At 37.6% G+C, this 16,645-nt stretch overlaps 2 long non-coding RNA genes across 2 annotated transcripts in view; one reads left to right on the top strand and one right to left on the bottom strand.

Annotated features, from left to right (window-relative positions):
- Positions 1-16,645, bottom strand: part of LINC00534 (long intergenic non-protein coding RNA 534) — a 166,472-nt gene that overhangs the window by 61,877 nt on the left and 87,950 nt on the right. The gene's annotated exons all lie outside the window — the stretch shown is intronic.
- LOC124901975 (uncharacterized) overlaps positions 1-16,645 on the top strand; it is a 267,232-nt gene that overhangs the window by 236,258 nt on the left and 14,329 nt on the right. The window contains exon 7 of the long non-coding RNA XR_007061002.1: positions 4,746-4,892. This is a non-coding gene — a long non-coding RNA (uncharacterized LOC124901975). The remainder of the gene's footprint in view (positions 1-4,745; positions 4,893-16,645) is intronic.

The following is a 16,645-nucleotide window of genomic DNA, read 5'->3' as shown; positions in this document are numbered from 1 at the left end:
GTCCTTCATTCTCCACTCCAAGACATGTGCAAATCCTATTTTTTTTCAGGCTCCTGATACAGTTTGGGTAGTGGTTAAACCACATAGGCTCTGGAGCCAGACTACTGAATTTCAATATCCATCTCTATTACTTACCAGGTATATGACCTTGGACTAATTACAGAACCTCTTCCTTCAGTTTTCTCATTTATGAAATGAAAGTAATTTATGAAATGATTTTATGAAATTTTTTTGAAATTTCATAAATTATGAAAGTATGAAATGATTTTATGAAATTATGAAATGATTTATGAAAATAACTCATGAAATTAAAGTACCTGTATCATGGGGTTTGGTCATTTAAAAAATGGGAAACTATATGTGTAAGGATTAACACTCAATAAGTGTTAGTTGTCATTAATATGGAGCAAAGGTACCATGTTGTAAGATGGTTGCAACTTAAAGCAGGTCTTGCCATGGGACCCCAGAGAGAATCCACTGAACTAATGTGCAAGTGAATAAATGCACTTATTCCTTTCAATTTTAAGTCTTTTCTAGAAAGAAATATGCCCAGGAGTTTTACTCAGCATCATCTATTATGTTGCTGCCACTTGAGCCAGTGTAGGGAAACAACTAAATAAAAAACTTGAAGCAGAATATTCAAATACACAAATTCCTAACTCCATACCTCCTCATAATTATAAGCAAGGAGACTCTTCCAGGTATCTGGCTAGACAACCTCAATGGCTTCATCTCTGAAGACATGCTACCATTAAGCAAACTTGGGTTTACATTACCATGACATGTTCTTGTCATACATCAATTATTGCTGCCCACAGCATACTCAGAGTAGAATAAGTATTTTTGCTTGGACTTTCACTCATATACAATAAGCACTTAAGAGTCAAAATCCGTAAGGAAACAGTGGTTTCAGTGCAGCACCTCGGGTACCTTCCATTTCTAGATTTAGTACAGCCTTCTTCACAGTTTACACAGGGTTTGGTTCTCTGATTTACTGTACAGCATTTTCTTCCCCAGACAGTTCAGAGAAAACAAAGTGTTCCTGTGTTTTCTCCACTTTCACATATGTGAGACAAGAGCACCCAGGGCTGGAAATGAGTGAAATCTAGGCACAGCAGGGCAGGACTGGAGCTCAGGTTGGCCTTGGCTGTCATTCTTCCCACTTGAGCATTTCAGCCCAGTGTGTTATGGAGTGGTGAGAGAATCCCGTTTCCTATTAGCAATTTGTATATTTCCTCACACTCTCTCTGCAGTGGAAACTCACCATTTCAGCCTTCTGCCAGCACCTGCCACTTCCTTTTCTTTTGTGTATCTTTTATCTCCTCTTTATCTCTCCTCGCTCCAACAATGAGGTTATATTCCAGTTCCTTTCTTTTTAATATGAAACTCTGATATCACTAGAGCCCAGGCCTCACACTTCTGTCAAATTCCCAGGACATTCAACCTTCCCCAGAGTTATAGGGAGTGGGAGGAAGCAAACAAGGCTGAATAGGACGGCCACGCTGCATCGCACTGACCTCTGAGTCAGTTTCCAAGTGGGGATAATGATGTTCCATGATCAGGACAGGATTAAAGCAGTATATAAGAAAGAGCAAAATGTATGAGTCTGTGATAAATACCAGGAGGGGAATGAGTCACGATGTTCTCTCAGAATCCATTGTGTTAACCCAGCAGGGGTCAGGTAGAGAGGTTTTCTGGTGAACAGCTGCTCCTGTTTACCTTCAGCTCCACTTTTCCAATCATTTTGAACATCTTGTAAAGAGGATTAAAATTCATGGACTGAATCTAAGGGATCAAACTGCTAATAACGTATGCATTAAATCCAGAGGTCATCATTTGCTCTAGATGGAGGACATCACTTGAACTTGGATGTAGAGCTGTTACAAGTCCTCCATGGTCTATAGTTTAATGAGGATCTTTAATTCATGAGCTGGACTGATTTTTAAAAGTCACATTTTCTCAATTAAAAGTGTTATTAAAGCATTAATTTAACTTAGCTCATGTTTTCATTTTATCTAGTAGTCTCTGAAAGATCTAATTTTTTTTTAAAAAAATACCTGTATTACCAAATCTAATAGGTTAGTCTACATCCAGTGGATGAGAAAAGACAAAGTCCACAAAATATGTCTGGGGACTTTATCTACTCTTGTTATTTTGTTACAACCAAATATGGTCAAAAATCCTCAGAGTTGGGGAGCATCTATTTATGATCTTCCCACCCCATCCTGCAAAAAGCCACACCGTTACACTAGTCCTGGAAAGTACTTTAATATAGCAAACAATTGCCATTTGCAAGGATGAAGCCAATGATATAAGTATGTGCAAGATCCACAGGCTGTAAAGAAAACAGAATAAATAACTGAAGGTGAAGGTGTAGTGATAAGGAAGTCCCATAGAGGAGAAAGGAACAGATGGAAGGATTAATAAACTCTTTTCTTGCCGCACAAATGAGAATCCAACCTATGGTCACTGGCTAACAATGCTGCCTGGAAGCCAGATAAGATGGTATGTATTAACCATATTGCCAGGCTACCTTACCGGTGGTAGAATGACCCCTGATTGGTAAGTTGCATTTAGAATGGGAGAACAATAAGTGAACTACAAATATCAGATGGGGAGCCATAGCTTCAAGCTTCTCTGAGTATAGTGACCTGTGGAAGCAGTGACTATGGACTTTTTACAAGATCTATTGGCCCTGTGAGGCAGGTATCTTCTTCTATGCCAGGGCAGAAACTGAACTGCCCAGATGTGGATTTCATCTCCTTGCCCTTGAGCTGTCCCTGGGGACATGATAGTCGTATGGGCTTTTTCCCTGAGATTTCACTTGGTTATACCCTGCTGGCAAGCTGTGCTTCCTATGTGGCACCTTCTGATAAGTTGATGCCAACTGTGGCCTAGTCTAGCCTTGTGAGCCTGTGTGTTTAATAGAGCCTTAGAGGATCCTTTGATGGGCATAGCAAAAGGGAACCAAAGGTGTTGGCAAATCAGACAAGGCAGGAAAAAGGTATTCCAGGAACAGAAACACTTTCACAGGAAGGAAAAAACTCTGGGAAATTAATCAGTGTTGCTGGGTGGAGAAGAATGGTAGAAAATTAAGTAGGGAGGTGGGCAGGGGCCAGATCAAAGCTTGAGAAGCTGTGCTGTCATCAATGGGAAGCTACTGGTGTATTCCAGGAAAGGGAGTGGTATAATTTGCATTTTAGATTATTCTGGCTATAATATGAAGGATGGACAGAAGGGGATATGATCAGAGGCAGGGAGACTACAGAAGAAGCTATTGCAATAGCCCACGTGACAGACGGTGAGTACTTGAACTAGGGCTGTAGGAATAAATTGGAAAAGAGGAAACTGATTTGACAGCTACTTTCATGAGACATAATTTAGTGACTGATTAAGTGGAAAATGAGGAAGAGAAGTCTAGGTGATTCTCAGGTGAGGCTTGGATGACATCTTTAGTAGCAATAATGAGCCCATTATCCTGAACTTTGGCAGACTTCTTTTACAATGAAATATTTAAAAAGATATTCAGCATTTCTATTTATCATTATACTCCTGGCATTTTATTTCAGAGAACTGTACGAATCCTGCTGCCTTGCCATTTCCTAATTAATAAGGGCTATTTTTAGTTCATTTCATTGTATAAATAATGTTTATTGAATGGGCGAACGCAGCTATGCCGATCAGAAAAATCTTTATTTTTCTTCTCCTGAAAGTCCTTCAAACCCACTCTAGCTAATCTCCCTTCTAATCTCTCCTCCCTGCCTCTAATAATATCTCTGACAGATCCCAATTTTAAGCAATACAGCAATCTCCTTTCCAGGTGTTAACATAACAAGTCAGATGTATATAAGCACTCCAACTCCCTTGCAGTGTCAAGATTTTCTCCCTGCAGTAGTGGTAGGGGAGGTAACGTACTGCTTTCCGCCCCTTCCCACCTCCTGCCCACTGACTCCACTGCCTCTGGCTGGTCCAGAATAAAGGAGGGGACTGAGATGAAAGATCTCACTTGGTTGGGACTGTTGTTCTCTGGCGTCTTTGTCTGGAAGAGAATTGGTACTACCTTGAAATTCTTGGGAGAACTAGCGCTGTGTCCACTGGAATACGCAACGATGTGTCCCGGAAACTGTGGTGTTTGACTCTCTCTGGAAAGGCCTGAAGGTAAAGGGCTTCCAGGCAGATCAGACAAGGCAGGAAAAGGGTATTCGAGGAACAGAAATGCTTTCACAGAAAGGAAAAAACTATTTGGGGAATTACTCAGTGTTGCTGCGTGGAGAATCTGTCTGGGTAGTAGATGGGGCTTTTCTGTGAGTTCTGGGACTGCGTGGAAACCCTGGAGTTGGCCATGTTTCCCGCTCCAAGCAATTGCCTCTCCCTCTGTCTTTTTGGCAAGGTCTCAGCAATTGCTCCCAAGGCACAATCTACTTTTCTCTGACAGGCAGTCCTCCCCTACAGTGTTCTCCCGCCCAGCTACTTGTACATTCTGGTCCCTGGGAAGCAAAGCCCATCTGTACCCTCCCCCACCTTGCATGTGCAGAGTCTTTCCTGTGGTCTTGCTGCTCACTCTCCCTCATATTGTCCCCACCCAGCCCTTTATCTTCAGGTCTTTCCAGGGAAAGTCAAACACCACAATTTCTGGGACATATTCCAGTGGACACAGTGCTAGTTCTCCCATGAATTTCAAGGTAGCTCCAATTCTCTTTCATTTATCTTATCAATTATTTTTTAAACTTCCATTTCTTACATAGGATGAAGAAAGCACCACAGAAGCAGTTCATGTCTCACTAAGGCTAGACACTGATGGATCTAACGTCTCTCTTTGGAATTTATTGGCATTTAACACCTATTATCGTCAACTCTGGAGTCCTCAGCTAAACTCTAAGAGAACAGGCAAGGTACCATTAATCATCCAGTTACATGCATTAATTACATGTCAATGCAAGTAAGCCAAACACTTTTACACTGGACCAGAAGCCCAAGGGGGTAGTTAATGGCACAATGGGACTTGCATGACCAGGCAGATGGAAATAAGGGTCCACCTCAGGGAGGGGAGCTCAGTGATTTTTTTGGTTTTGATTTTTGTATTTACCTGGCAACAAGGGTTATTATTTGCACGTTTATAGCTAGTGTGCTAAATGGCACTTTGACAGCCTGCCAGGAAGGTCAGTCAGAATTTCCCACTGATGAATGCTTCTAGGCTTGAGTTTTGTTTTCCTTTAGGACCAACAAATAACTAGCAAAAACAGCAACAAAAAAGAGCTATGCAGCTCACATAGAGTAAAGCAATTACCCTAATTTGGAATTTTATTTTTGCTTTTTGCTTTGGAAAATCATCAATTAATTTTTTACAGACAGCCAATATGTAGAACAACAACCTCTCTTCAAAAATGTTTAATTCAGCATCTGGGGTGTATATTCATTATTATGAAATTTTCTTGCAAGGTTTACTCAGTTTGGACACCAGCTAAAAAAACTAAACAAAGCTGTGGGTATTGAAAGAACTGAGGTGGGGGCAGGGAGTTATGAATAGTTATTTTGCTTTTAGACAAGCAATTCATTCCACATTTGTTAAAGCTTGCTGGATTGAGTCCTGTAACAGCTTTTATGCAATAGATTTGTTCCTGTAAAGTTGTATATAAATCAATTTTTTATAAATTGATTCATACTTTGACTGCATTGAAGTCTTGCTATTTAAAGAAACCGTACTCTAAATCTTCTTGTAACATGAAGAATTCATCTTGTGAAATGGATACGAGACAGAGAGAACAGCTTTATTTAAAGACATGCCTATGTAATTGGTCATAGGAGACGATTTGAAAAAGTATATAGGTTTATGACTTATTTTTAAAGCAGCCTAGCACTGGGGTCACAGAAACTATAATGACTAACAGTTTTGTGACAAAATTGTATTCCCCAAATCCTGTAAAGAAATCTTTACACTACAGTACATGTCCAGAGGGCTCTTGTTCTCATTTCTGCTTTTATTTGAGTATCTCACATTGGTGAATGGAAAGGAATCAATGAGATCACTTTTTTGTTCCCTCGCAGCAGGCATGAAAATGCCCAGAAAGTTAAGAACATTACTGGAGATGCAGGACAAAATTAATCTCAGTATTCAGAACAGTTCTATGCCATGCCAACTGCCATTAGCCACATTTTACAGATGAGGAAACTGAGGCAGTGAAAGGTTAAGTAAATGCCCAAGGATGCTTCATTAATAGCTATGAGTCAAGGTTTGGACATCAGCAGTCTGACACTCAAGCTCAGATTCTTTAATAACCATGCCACATACCTCAGAGACATATGTGTATTGATGGATGGATGGATGGGTGGGGGGGCTGGGTGGACGGACAGATGGACAGATGGACAGACAGATGGACGGATGGATGGACGGATGGATGGATGGATAAATGGGTGGATAGGTGGATGAATGAATGGGTGGGCGGGTGGATAGATAATTTGAGATAATTATATAAAATTTTTATGTACTAATAAATGATATAAAATTATATAAATAATCTATAACTAACATTTTTAGTGTTAAATGAAATAGTCCTTGTCAAAATGGATCTTGGATATAGCTCATTGGTTTTCACTGTTCAAGAGGCCAAACATTTGTCACATTTATAAGATATAAAAGTTTACAAGGGATATCAATGTTGATCCTGAAGCCTAGATCCCCTCATAGCCTTGCTTTGTAGCATACAAGAGTTTCTTTCATTGGGAAATTCTGTATCAAATTTCAGCATTTTAGCTTCTCACAAAATTGAGTATTTGGCAGTAGTAGCTCCCATTTTTATAGGAGACAATCAGTTTGGGAATAGCTATGCTCTTCAGTTTACCATCTTTGCTGTAACGCCTCTTAGTTTTCCCCATGGCCTTCCTCATGCATTCACTTACCTCTTGGCATCTCTGGGTAAGAGAGTTTTTGAATCTTGAACCAAAAATGCAAATAAACAAGCCTCATTGTTAGAGAGCTCAAAGTAAATTTGTGCACATCAGATGACTATTGTGTGCAAAAATATACATAGTTCTTCTAATCAGAAAGAACTTTCAAAAAATTATAAAAAACACGAACCACATGCACATAGTTTTAACATAATTATCTATTTAATTAATATTGAAAATTTCCACTGCAAGGCAGCATTTGATATCTTAGTCCTACCAGATTTGTTTTAAGCATTCATGGCTCTGCAGATGAATGAAGGAGTGAAGAAGTTATAGAAGAAAGATAAGGTCTCCTAGAAGCCCTTGCACACAGGAAGAAAACTGGAGAGTTTACATCATTTTTGTGTATATTCCAAGTATGAACAAAAATGAGGTAGCAAAAAGGATCTCTATACACACATAGACCAGAAACTAACAAAAAGAAAGCATGACATAAAAAATACTTCTTTCCATACATTCCTTAATTCACAACTAGATGGAAATTATCACTTGAAAGTTATAGTTCTAATAGACATGTATTTTAAAATCCTATCATTTGATAGAAATATTAGCTGGCTTAAGCCTTTCATCTTATTTTATTTGTACTCTATTCTATCTGAAATTAGGTTCTGATTGTCTCAGTAGGAGACTCGGGCAATATTTGTAGGAATTATAGTACTTTAAAGGAAGTCTATGAAAATAATTGTGTGCTGTTATATTTCTTTTCACAACTCTCCAAACACCATTAATGAGGAATCAAAAGTGCCCTGCAATCAGAACAGGAATATAAATACCCACTCACCCTCCCGCGTAGCCAGCACAAACAATGGGTGAAAGCTTCCTGACTAAACAAATATGTTCCCTACTTCCTGTTCCGTTGGGAGGAAGATGCCAAACGTACGAGGCAGCCATGAATTTCGTTCACTGAAACGGCCTCTTTCAATGTGCTGCTAGTCGTATTTTAAAGAATATTTTGTAATCAGCCTTGACAACTGCCTTCCAGAAGAGAATAACTGAACCATTTTAACACCCAAACATTTGGAAGCCAGTTGAAACAACATACCACTTGTGAAGAGGTTTATCATGCTTGGATATCTACCACCAACTGAACAGGAAGGAAAAACAACTTAGTTGAGGATGAAATATTTTATAAACTCCTTCACAAAAACCAGGACTTGTTTTTTTGTGAGCATGGACAGAATCATATGTTTAAAATGCCCTTCAGACAGTTTATGAAATGCTTGATAATTTCTTCTTCTACACCCAAGATGAATGCTTTTATCTGTGATATTGCTTTCTGTGAATGCCTTGGCTGAGTTGGTATTCAGTATTTATTAAATTTAACTTTGCATTTGCCCATGCTGTTCACCCAACCTGTTATTTCCTCCCTTCTTTTTTTTGTGCTTAGCTACATATTACCAAGTCTAGAAGCATCCGTGTATTATATCAGCCATTAATGATCCAGTCTCTGACCTATGTATGTATACTTACACTAACACTTCAATATCTAAAACATTTATTCATGTCTTGCCAGTTTTTGTATTTCAACTGTAAATGTATATGTGTCTTCCTTGCCAAGCCTTATTTCAGTTTTTGAGTGGAAGAGACTATATATTATGCTGATTGGTATTCTCCACAACATCAAGTATCATATTCCTAAGCTTTAAGTGAAATAGAGAATGATCACATTTTAAGTTAGTAAAGGACATACATAGAATTCCTTACAACATCATTATGAAGCTCCATTATCATGAAATGAGCTAAAAACTGAAAATCTAAACCCTTAATATTTCAGGCTTTTCTTTTTCTGAAGTTATTTTGTTTATGGGGCAAAAATCAACATATTGGTCTATAGGTACACAAATCTAAATGTATGCTTACTAGGTAGAAATTCACAAACTGGACAAAATATGAGCAGTCATGTTAGTAAGAATTTCTTGCATTGAGGTATTATCTTTTACATGAGCATCTTAAAATATGTATTTTCCCCACACACTATATTGTAGAAGTCTCTTCCTATGCCTATAAAATTTGGAACAATTTATAAAATTGGCAGTTTATATATAAACACACTGATGAAGAGTTTGTGATGCTCAAGTTTTAACTCCTCATCCAGAGCTTTCTCCACAAGACCATCTTTTATTCCTTATTTGATACCTCAGGTCCTATAAACCAGGGAAAGAACAAAAGACAGCATCATTTGAGAATCTGAAGGATGGATAACCATCTGGCTGCTGGATTAAGAGTTGAGAAAGGGAGAGCTGGTCAATAAGTCAATGAAAGGCTGTTGTCGCTGTGCCTGGCAGTGGATATGAGATTAGTGGTATGGTCACTACAAAGCTGGCAGTCGGAAAGAAGAGGTGGTTGCAGAGCAAGGAGGGCAAAGACAGCTGGACCTTGCTGGGACTTCTGTATGCTTTCTCAGCACATTTACCCACTAGGACCTTAACAGAGCAATGGCTGCCTGCATAGGGCTGCCTTCCAAACCCTGCCATATTTCTTTTTAGGACAAAACTGGCCATACAGGAAATGGGATTCTGGAAAGTATAGTTCTAACTTAGCCCTTTTCCTCCTTAAATCAATCTTTCACTTGGGTTTCCAGCAGGTCACTGCCTCATCTCTCCCTTACTGTCTCTCTGAATGCTGCTTCTTAAACAAAAATAGATAGGGACATGAGTGTGAATATAAATATGGATATGTATCTAGATATATGGATATGAAGATTAATTCTATTTGGACTTGGATTTGCTTAGATATATTTAGATAGATTACAAAACGATTCAAACCAATTAGGTTACTCAGCAAATGTTAGATTCTTTTAGTAAATGTTAGTAGACTCTGTAAATAGTTAAGTGGCAATTTTATATATATCCCTTGTCTCACAAACTTACTAATAGATGCTATCTTACAATAAAACCAAATTTCAGACCAAGTTCCATCAAACTTATGATCATTTGTTACCAAAATGGCTCCTAAGTGGTTATGCAACAGTTACACAGCTTGGAGGAAATCCAATTTCTGCCTAGATACATTGATTTTACCACCTTGTATGAGAGGCTTACTGAAGTGAATGCACTGATGTTCTGACAGCGTATCAAGTCAGGCTTAGAGTAGAATCCTTCATCTGATTTCTCCAGGAAGTAGGGAAACAGGACCAATGAGACTGTAGACTTTGGTTATTCCACCAATGACATTAAACTGCTGGGCTTGTTGAACTTTTGTATTTCACTTATTCAAGGTGGTGAGGCTTCTATAATGTATTTTAACCATGCATCTATCTTGAAAATTGTCATTTTACCAATTATGATTAACAAACACTGTGGGATATATTTCAATAAATATATGTCACATGTTAAGTAACCATTTTGAAAATGTTGATTCCTGGTTAAATGGACTTCAAATGCTAATAACCACACCTAAAGTGGTTAGAGTTCATTTACACACTCACACACATACACACACACCTGTTTATATAAAACTATTGTAAAGTAAATCAACACATAAGCAATAGAATTATAAATAATTAATAAACAATCTAAGTATAGCTATGTATAGCTGTATAACCCACCAGCTGAGCTACTCTAGGTTTGGAAAGGCAAAAATAACAATTATGTTTGGAATATAATTTACTATAACTATAACATAGTCCATTTTCAAAAACCTTTTGCTGTTATTTAAGCAACATCCTTTACACAGAGGACATAAGATAATGCTTATGTATGCTTATGGCTAGTTTAGCAATTCGTCCCAGTTTGCCTCAATGGATGGACCCTACAGTCTTCTTAAATCAGAGTTCTAATCATAGGATATCTGCTTGACAGCCTCTAGTAGCTCATTGTCCATCTCCTTTTATCTTTTACCACACCTTGTTAAGCTGTCAGTTCTCTGGGAATAACCTGGAAATAGATCTGCTATGTTTTACCAACCTCAGATTTAACGAAATTGGAAAATCCATCCTGCCTCTTTAATCATGGAAGATGGGGGAGGATATACATGTGGCCTAGACAATGGTCTTTTGTGTGGCTGTGGTCTCCTTCCGCTGCACTGAGTGTATGTATCTGGCTTCCTTTCTCAGGATCTTCTTTGTCCAAGATCTTCTCTCCTCACATGATTTTTTGGTATCCTTCATACCCGAGGACTCCCTCGAAGGAAACCTTGACCAGATATAGTACACCAATAGACTTATTTCTGAGAGTTAAAAAAAAATTCTACAAATCAGGTACTAAAAGGAATGTAAGAGAATTCCAAATATGGGAGGAAGAGCAGGTCGAGCAAGAAGTGGCATCCACATAGTAGTTACACTCTATGACACAAAGCTATTGATAATACCATGAGATTTTCTGAGAAAATACTATTTATTTTTTCATACGTTTATGTTCTGCATCCCCAACAAGGTCATAAGCACTTAAAAAGCATGAATTTATTCTATCCTCCCACCATCAGTTTCTAGTATTATGCCAAAACTACCAGAATGACTTGTACCTATTAAAACCTCAACATTTTAGACATTTTAAGAAGATATCTTATTCAATTTCTCCTTTAGATAAATTTTAGAGACTTTAGATGTTTTGTGGATTCAATTACAGAAAAGGAAGAGAAAATGAAAATGGCTGGTAAATGTAAAAGTCATTACTTATTAATGACATTAGAGAAGAGGACTATTTATTCCCTGTGGCCAGATGCAAAAATAAAATAAATAAAATAGTTAAAACCTATTAGATGCATAGTATGGGAACATTTATGGCAATTATACTGTTGTGCTAGTTACAGCCTAGCAGTACTCAAGTAATCACATCTAAAACAAACACAGCATGTAAATTTATCTAGTTAGCACTGAATATATTAATTAATGTGATTTCATTAAAGCTTATTTTTGTAAAGGATACATTCTGATTCAATGAAATTTAGTTCATATTAACTTTCCATTCTTATCCATTTTTATTAGATGTCTTGATAATTGCAAACGTTTATTGAACATATGAGTCATCCTTTCTTCCAAGCTCCCATTTCTTCAGGCAAATAATAATTTTCAACATTCAAGTCTTCAACTTCCATCTGATTATTTGTATATTACAGATAATAAATTATTGAAATTCCTGGCTTGGTAGCTGTGTAACAAGGGCACTGTGGTCTCTGTAATGTAGATTAAATTGAACAGGCATTCCCTCTTTTTGCATTAATGCCTGGATTTCTAAATGTATGATGGATTTACTAGAAGGTTCACAATGTGAGGATCAATTATTAAACAAGTTACCCTAATTATTAAGCATACTCAAATCACAGAGATATTTTATCAAACAGGCTTATTATAGAATCATAACCACAGTACATTTTGACAGGATGAATCTTGAAGAAAATAATTTTTGATTTTACAGTATAAATGATTTTATAGTTTATAAAAGTCAGGGCTCTTTAAGCAGATGCAGATGCTCTATGCTGGCACCATGAGGATGAATATTTCTCATTTATAGCTGTATAGTCAAGAAGGACTGAGGGCCTGTAAACTATCTTAAATTATTTTTTCCACAACCTCTGTGGTGTACCACTGGATCACCTTCATTAAGCATCAGTTAAGTAATATAAGGATCAGTAAAGGGATTTTCTGACCTGTCAGACCACTCTACCATTTGAGTGTTACTATTCATGAATACTTGAAAACAGGGTGCAGAGTCAGTTCTAAATTTTGAGGCTGGCCTGGCATCCACTGGCTGTGAAACCTGAGATAAGCCACTCAACCTCCCTGAGCTTCTGTGTCTTCTTTTGCCCAGCCTAACCCTTAAGATTGCTTTGGGACCAAATGAGTTAGTGACTGTGAGAGTTCTATGACCTGTCAAACAAATGTATACCAGTTGTATTAATGTTCTATTGCTGTGGTAACAAATTACTGCAAATTAGAAGCTTAAACAATACACATTTATTTTCTTACAGTTCTGAAGGTCAAAAGTCTGACACAAGTCAATCTGGGCTATAAACAATGCAAGGATGGTGTTTCTTTCTGGAGACTTAGGGAGGAATTGGGTTTCTTGCCTTTTCCACATTCTAGAGGCTGCTAGCATTCCTTAGCTCACAGCCATTTCTTCCATCTTCGAAGTCAGCAACATTGAGTTTTTCTCTGACCCTTCTTCAGTCATCACAAATCTTTCTCTGACACCTAGGTAAAGTGTTCTGCTTTTAAAGCCTCATATAATTAGTTTGGGCCCAGCATGAAACTCCAGGATAATCTCCCCATTTCAAATTCCTTAACTTTGATAATATCTGCAGAGTCCCTTTTGGCATGTAAGGTAACATATTCAGAGCTCCTGGGATTAGAAGCTGAATATCTTTTGGGGGCTCATTATTCACCTTACCATACTTCATATTGTTCTTATTAAATCAAGTCTGAAATGATTAAACTTTCCCCAATAATTTCTCTCTTCTCCACCGAGATTCTTTCTTATAAGTATTTATGTATATGGATTGATCCATATAATCATCTATTTGTTCACAGATTGTATATTAGTCGATTTTCACACTGCTATAAAAATACTACCTGAGAATTGGTAATTTATAAAGCAATGAGATTTAATTGACTCACAGTTTTGCATGGCTTGGGAAGCCTCCGGAAACTTACAATCATGGCAGAAGGTGAAGGGAAAGCAAAGCACGTCTTACATGGTGGCAGGAGAGAGAGAGTGAAGGGGGAACTGCCACACACTTTTAAACCATCAGATCTCATGAGAACTCACTCACTATTGCAAGAACAGCATGGGGAAAACTGCCACCATGATCCAGTCACCTCCTACCAGATCCTTCCCTCAGTGTGTGGGAATTACAATTCGAGATGAGATTTGGATGGGGACATAGAGTCAAACCATATCAGGTTGCTTTATAATCACATCATTAAATCTAAATCTGCCTCACACATTCATTTCTTCTCTCCCAATTAGTAATCAAGTTCTTCTAGTACACAAAGTATACTCTATAGATACTCAAAAAATGCCAATAATTAAATATAGATTAATGAATGATATGGGAGGTTTTGAGAGACTAAAGGTCTGACAATTCACATACATGTGTTTTAGATAGGTCAGGAGCATATGAGCAGCATTGCAAGTGGTTAAGTGGGTGGTCTTTCCCACCAGACTGCCCGGGTTCAAGTCAAAGTTTTTTTTTCTAGTTAGTTGCATGATCATGGTCTACTTATGCCTCCATTTTCTTAGCTATGAAATAGTGTTAATAATAGTCACAACTTAGGGGTTTTATGAGGATATAAGAAATACAAGTAAAACTCTCACAGTCTTGATAAGAGTGGCTAGCACATAGTAGGCACTTGATAAGTATTGCTGGACAGTGGGCCCATAAATCCAGTCATATGTATTCTTGAGGCTTCATCTTACACTTATCTTTTCCACAGCTTTTTAATAATAGCCATTTATGAAAAAAAGACATGAGGATTTTCTCTTTGGATTAGAAAAATATTGACCATTTTTTTGCAATTTAAAATTACACACAGATTTGCAATTTCTACTTGTGAATTATTTGGCCCTGTTCCTACTCCTTTTTACTACTACTGCCTGACTTTGGGGCAATGCTTTGCTATTATCAGCTGTGGGGGTCCTTCCCGCAGACCCTGACCCAATGACGGATGAATAATGTACTCTGACATAGATATTATGCTTGTCAGTCCAGCTGAGAGTTGGGGCCGGCCGCTTACAGACTCCCAGGAGAGTGCTGTAAAAAGTTGCAACTACGACCCTGACTCACTGGCCTTCCCAGCATTTATTCAGCACACATTAAATGATAAAAGTCTCAAGTAAACATCACTAGAAGGTAATTACCACTGCTGACCCCCCAAGTAGAGAGCAATCACACACCCACAGATGGTTAAAGGTTAGTCTTAGGACCACATGAGTAAACAAGCTATTTAGATAGACTCTTCTACATTCCTGTTAATTACCCTTGCTATAGCTCAAAGAGGATTAGGCTGCCTTCAGCCATAACTCTATTCTGAGGCTTTTGCAAAAACCTTCTGGCCTTCCAATAAGGCTTATTTTACAATTTTTCCCACCATCGTGACTGAACCCCTACAATCAGCTGTAATCCAGAGTGGGCAGAAGGAAGGTAATAGGAAGAGAAACCCAAATCAGTCTTTTTGGGTTTCTACTGAATCAATTTGTTTGAAGCTTAAAACTGTTGGCCATCAGAAAGTCTTGCAATTATCTATGAATTTAATATTTTTGTATTTTTCTTGTCCTTAAAGTATAAGAGAGAATTCAAATTTGAGATTCCTATATTTTTTCCTATTCAATGACATAAAACCTAGACATTCACAACATCATGTTCCTGAGAGATTCTGAAACTCTTAGTTGTATGAGTCTGAAAGAAACCACTCTGTGTCTATCCATACAACACAATAAAACCTCCAGACCCTGGAGACTTTAAGCAGAAGTCATCCTCTTGAAAGGGAAGCTGTTATAATGCTTTTTCAAATCCATTTATGTGTAAGGGCTTTACAGACAAGCACACTATAGTTCTTGAGAAGTCCATAATTATTTCAATGATTTCAGTCCATTCCGAGCAGGCTGTATATTATCTTCCTTTTTGTGGGTGTGCTTTGGAAAGCTGAAGCTCTCTCTAGTAATGTCTGCTCTTCTGTTCTATTAACACCTCCCAATGCAGAAACATCTCAGGCCCTGCCAGGTTCTTCATTATAAATTCTAGTTTTCAACAGTTTATAAATCATCTATAAATATTCACTTGTGGTACGAAGAGACTTGACAGGATTTTCACAGTGATCATTTGAGGAATTATGGAACAAGAAATTATGTCTTACAGTTGACATGTTAGAAGAGAGAAGAAAAGAAGGGGATCATGTGGATAGAGCAAAATGAACTATTTGGAAATTCAGAAGTTTTAAACAATATTTTCACAGTATAAATTAATTGCTCATGATCTTATCAGAATCAAAGCAAATTCAAAAATTCTTTTGGTGAGATACCTACAAAAATAAATACTTGAGAAGGTATACATTTCCTATGTGTGTTATTTAATCCAATCTCTTTCATGTGGGGAGGGCACACTGTTTATGTTGATGTTGGAAGACCATTTGTAAGTCAAAACAGGGGAATTCTATTGTTGCAAACTGGCTGTCACCCAGTTTCTCCAACATATTTTGGCAAGACTTGTGATGGCATACACACAAAGAAGCCAAAACATGCACTGGAAGTAGCAAAAATAAGTAAGTAAAACACTGAACTTGCAAGAACAGAAAAATGACAAAGATCCCAAGAAACATTATTATGGTTCTTTCTCCACCAAACACTCATTTTATTTTTATGATGAATCCCGACACTGTTTTTAGGTTTTTGAAGAAAGAAATAAAGGTTAAAACAACTCTTTAAATGAATCTCTTTTTAGAAAAATACACAGAAGAAGGTGGAAAAAAAGAAGAGTCCTAACAACAACAAATGCAAACCAGTCAGTCCTCTGTGATTACTGATTTGGGTGGGAAGGAAGCCTTTGTGGGCAGCAAATGTGTTTTCTCTAATTAAATGAACAGAAGGAGGAACAGAAGAAACAGAAGAAAGGCCAGCTATGCTTACAGAGGCTCAGACAAAGCCATATACTTCAAAGGGCAAGATTTCTTTAAATGAGATAAAATAGCATTAAAACAAAATAAGACTTTTGAAAATAAAGATACAGTAGCACAACATCTTAGCACCTTGCAATTCTAATTCTCAGG

Source organism: Homo sapiens, chromosome 8 (assembly GCF_000001405.40).
Source record: "Homo sapiens chromosome 8, GRCh38.p14 Primary Assembly".
Lineage (NCBI taxonomy): Eukaryota > Metazoa > Chordata > Mammalia > Primates > Hominidae > Homo > Homo sapiens.
Note: the sequence above shows the minus strand (reverse complement) of the source record. Positions and strands in the feature narration are given on the sequence as shown.